This window comes from Homo sapiens, chromosome 18 (genome assembly GCF_000001405.40).
Source record: "Homo sapiens chromosome 18, GRCh38.p14 Primary Assembly".
NCBI classification, from domain to species: Eukaryota; Metazoa; Chordata; class Mammalia; order Primates; family Hominidae; genus Homo; species Homo sapiens.
Genome location: NC_000018.10, coordinates 58014986 through 58019455, shown reverse-complemented (window position 1 = coordinate 58019455; position 4470 = coordinate 58014986). Strand labels below are relative to the sequence as shown.

The window sequence follows — 4470 nt, the reverse complement described above, 5'->3', positions numbered from 1 at the left end:
AGTAGAAATAATTGCAGCTAGCACTTATTTTATTATTTTCTTTTCTTTTTCTTTCTTTCTTTTTGAGAAGGAGAATCACTCTGTCGCCCAGGCTGGAGTATAGCGGCATGATCTTGGCTCACTGCAATCACTGCCTCCTGGGTTCAAGCGTTTCTCCTGCCTCAGCCTCCCGAGTAGCTGGGATTACAGGCATCCACCACCACACCTGGCTAATTTTTGTATTTTTAGTAGAGATGGGGTTTCACCATGTTGGCCAGGTTGGTCTCAAACTCCCGACTTCAGGTGATCCGCCCACCTCGGCCTCCCAAACTGCTGGGATTACAGCCATGAGCCACTGTGCCAGGCCCAGCTAGCATTATTGAGTTAGTTTAAAAATCTACATAAAGGTGGGGTGGGGGGCGCCAAGGAAGAGCCCAAGAGGAGATCAGCACGGTTGTCAGCTAAACCTCCTGCAAAAGTGGAAGCAAAGCCGAAAAAGGCAGCAGCGAAGGATAAATCTTCAGACAAAAAAGTGCAAACAAAAGGGAAAAGGGGAGCAAAGGGAAAACAGACTGAAGTGGCTAACCAAGAAACTAAAGAAGATTTACCTGCAGAAAATGGGGAAACGAAAACTGAGGAGAGTCCAGCCTCTGATGAAGCAGGAGAGAAAGAAGCCAAGTCTGATTAATACCATATACCATGTCTTATCAGTGGTCCCTGTCTCCCTTCTTGTACAATCCAGAGGAATATTTTTATCAGCTATTCTGTAAATGCAAATTTTTTAGTAGCTCTAGAAACATTTTTTTTTTTTTTTTTTGAGACGGAGTTTCGCTCTTGTTGCCCAGGCTGGAGTGCAATGGCGTGATCTCGGCTCACAGCAACCTCCGCCTCCCGGGTTCAAGCCATTCTCCGGCCTCAGCCTCCAGAGTAGCTGGGATTACAGGCATGCACCACCATGCCCAGCTAATTTTGTATTTTTAGTAGAGACGGGATTTCTCCATGTTGGTCAGGCTGGTCTCGAACTCCGGACCTCAGGTGATCCGCCTGCCTCGGCCTCCCAGAGTGCTGGGATTACAGGCGTGAGCCACCGCGCCCGGCTGAAACATTTTTAAGAAGGAAGGAATCCCACCTCATCCCTTTTTTTTAAATGTAAATGCTTTTTTTTAAGAGGTGAAATCATTTGCTGGCTGTTTCTTTTTTGGTACAACCAGAAAATAGTGTGGGATATTGAATTACGGGAGGCTCTGACTATCTCGGGTGTCAGCTTAATATTCCATAGATGGGGGGTTAGTTTTTATATCCTATAATACAAAGCATATTAAATGGCAATATGGAGTCAGTCCTGTGTTTAATGTCTTGAACATTTTAAATTACTTCTATTCCCATGTTGTTTTTTAGTAGAATTGTTTCCTAAAGAAAACCACTCTGATCATGGCTCTCCCTGTCAGAATTGTGTGCACTCTGTAACATCTTTGGTTTTGGTAGTCCTGTTTTCCTAATAACATTGTTACTGTGCTGTGAAAGATTACAAATATGAATATGCAGTGTACGTGCTATTCAGTTGTGGCCGTATGTGCTATTCAGGTGGGCTGTATGTAACAGCTGACCAACGTGTGAAGATACCAGTACTTGATAGCCTCTTAAGGAAAATTTGCTTCCAAATTTTAAGCTGGAAAGTCACTGGAATAACTTTAAAAAAGAATTAATTACAATACATGGCTTTTTAGAATTTCATTACATATGTTAAGAATTGTGTACAAATTGAAATGTCTGTACTGATCCTCAACCAATAAAATCTCAATTATGAAAATAAAAAAAAATCTACATAAAGGGAGAAACCCTCCAAAATATATAGAACATGGAGAGTGCTTTCTGAAATTGGACTTCAGTTGTCAAGGTCCCTTGGATGAAGGAGCACAAAAAACAAAGCCCAGGGCTTGCTCAAGCAAATAATCTAATGTAAGATCTTCCACACACAACCTTGAGGCCCTAAAGGACTATACCTTTCATGTTTAATGATGAACCAGAAATAGCCTTGCCTTCCAGGAAAGTCTTCTTGGACCTGAGCACATCAGGAGGAATCAATCCTCTGGCCCAAGGACACTATAATGGAAAACAAGTCTTCTCATGGGTTTGCAGCCCAAATTCACATCACCCAGGCAGTCCAGAAAACCTCAAGCTATAAACTCATTTTAGAATTGTTCCAGACTGGTAATAGTTTCAGGAACCTGACAGAAGCAAATGTAAATATCAGAGAACCCCACCTTCATCTGAGGCCTCAAGCAATTCCCTCAAATAATTTTCTAAGGAAAATGCATAGCTCACAGTAATAAATTAATGAATGAATAAACACTAAAAAGAAAAACAAACAACCCACAGCAGAACAGACCCACAAAATTTTAGATATTGAAATTACCTAAGGCCAGCCATGGTGACTCATACCTGTAATTCCAGCACTTTGGAAGTCCAAGGCGAGTGGATTGCTTGAGCCCAGAAGTTTGATACCAGCCTGGGCAACATTGGTGAAACCCTCTCTCTATAAAACACTAAAAAATTAGCTGCTCCCCTGTAGTCCCAGCTACTCAGGAGGCTGAGGTGGGAGGATCACTTGAGTCCAGGGAGGTTGAGGCTGCAGTGAGTTGTGTTCATGCCACTGCACTCCAGCCTGAGCGACAGAGCAAGATCCTGTCTCAAAGGAAAAAAGAAAAAAAGGATTTCTTACAATACTAAGCCTACTACTTCAGAAACAGATAAACAAACAAATAGACAAGCTGGAAAATATTTTCAGGGTATAGAAAATAATAAAAATGATACAGCAGATTTTAAAATTTGAATTTACAGAGACAAAAAATTAAGTGATTGAAATTTAAAACTTAGTGGGTATATTAAGCATTAGGCATGGTTAATGAGAGAATTAATGAACTGGAAGACAGGGCTGGAGAAATTATGCAGAATGCAGCACATGAGATGAAAAATATAAAAGGGGCATAACAAGATACAAAAGACAGAATTAAAAAGTCTCACATTTGTCTATCACAGTTCCAGAAGAGAGGAGAGTGAGATTGGGGCTGCAATATGAAACCTGAATTTTACCTTGAGAGCAGTAACAAACCATTGAAAGAATTTGAGTAGGGTGTTAATGAGGGTTGTTATGAAAGATGGTGCAGTTTAGTCACTGCTCAAAGGTTTTTGGCTGAGGGGATAAAGGGGCTAAAATGTGGCTTGTATTCAATTTAGCAGGCCACGTGCCTGGTGAGGGGTTGCATCTGGCTGGAGGAAAGAAAGCAATTAAAAAAAAAAAATTCCCACAGAAATATTATATGGCTAGTCACAGCCCTGGCCCTGACATAGATGAGTTCAAGTTTTGCTCTTCAGATATAGTGTAGAGAAGAGCTTTTCTCAAAGAAAAATGGTGTTAGATCAGTTTTTCATCTTTTCTGCCAAAGGTCAGATTTCCAGACTTTTCTCCAAAAGGTCATGCTCCTAAGAAACAATGAACATACATTCGTTTTTGTTTCTTGTGAGATTGATTATAGCCAGTTTTAGTCCTTGATCTAGACTCTGCTATTGTCTTCTTCTATAGTCATTTTTGTTCTTTTCTTATCCTTCCTGAATACATTTTGGGGTGGAAAAGGGAATCTCATCTTCTTTTTTGACTTAGCAGAGTATGTAATGCAATATGCACATTGCTTTGCATTCTGAAGCATGGAAGTGATTTTTTAAGCTACTATATCAAAAAGATAGTCACTGCTCAACTTTGTATACTGTATTATCTCAAGTCCCTGGTCAAACGAGCAATTCGCTATATCATCAACTGTCATGTTATATTGCCTGGGTTTTAGAGAATAAGGGATGGTGGTTGGTTAATAGCCCAACTTGAAATATTACGAAAGAGGGGCAATTCGAGCTGAGATGATTTACAACTCTCAGAATGGGAACTAGTGGTAGAAAATAAAGAAGGGCATTTATGTGCGGCTAATTATATTGAAGGAAAATGAGGCCAGAAGTTGGAGCGTACTCTGGTGTCTGTTACGAGGTAGGAGCTGAGATACGAGTGGGGAACGGGTGGCCTCTGTAGTTGGACTTTTAAGTTAGCAGGGATGGAGTCGAATCTGCGTAATCTTGGAAAAGGAACTTGAGAAATGTCTTCTGAGCTAGGCCAACTAGAGGAAACCAAAGTTACCCCAAATCGTCTGGGTCTTCTGTAGGTTACCCAGGGGACCAGCCCCAGCTCACAAGAACAGAAAGTGGAGAGCATTTGCATGACAGGGAACCACTGTGAGGAAGTGAAAGCACCTTATTTGCAGTAAATCAGGACACATTTATACCATTCTGTGGAGACTGCAGGGAAGAGAGATGTTTCTAGTGGAGAAGGGATGCTAAATTGGATTAATTACATAGCACGCATTAGTACTAATTAAAGATGTGTAATGCATCATTGGTATCTTCTTATTTAGTATGCTCTCAGCTGCTCATTTTCCTTCAGTGAAC

At 40.9% G+C, this 4470-nt stretch overlaps 1 pseudogene, besides 1 other annotated feature; it reads left to right on the top strand.

Moving 5' to 3' along the window:
- Positions 395–1791, top strand: HMGN1P30 (high mobility group nucleosome binding domain 1 pseudogene 30; annotated as a pseudogene).
- Positions 3962–4191: an enhancer, noted in NCBI's record as "active region_13381". NCBI's record gives its function as "activates an Ori minimal core promoter by ATAC-STARR-seq in GM12878 lymphoblastoid cells {active_cell/tissue: GM12878}" and the evidence as "EXISTENCE:reporter gene assay evidence [ECO:0000049][PMID:35858748]".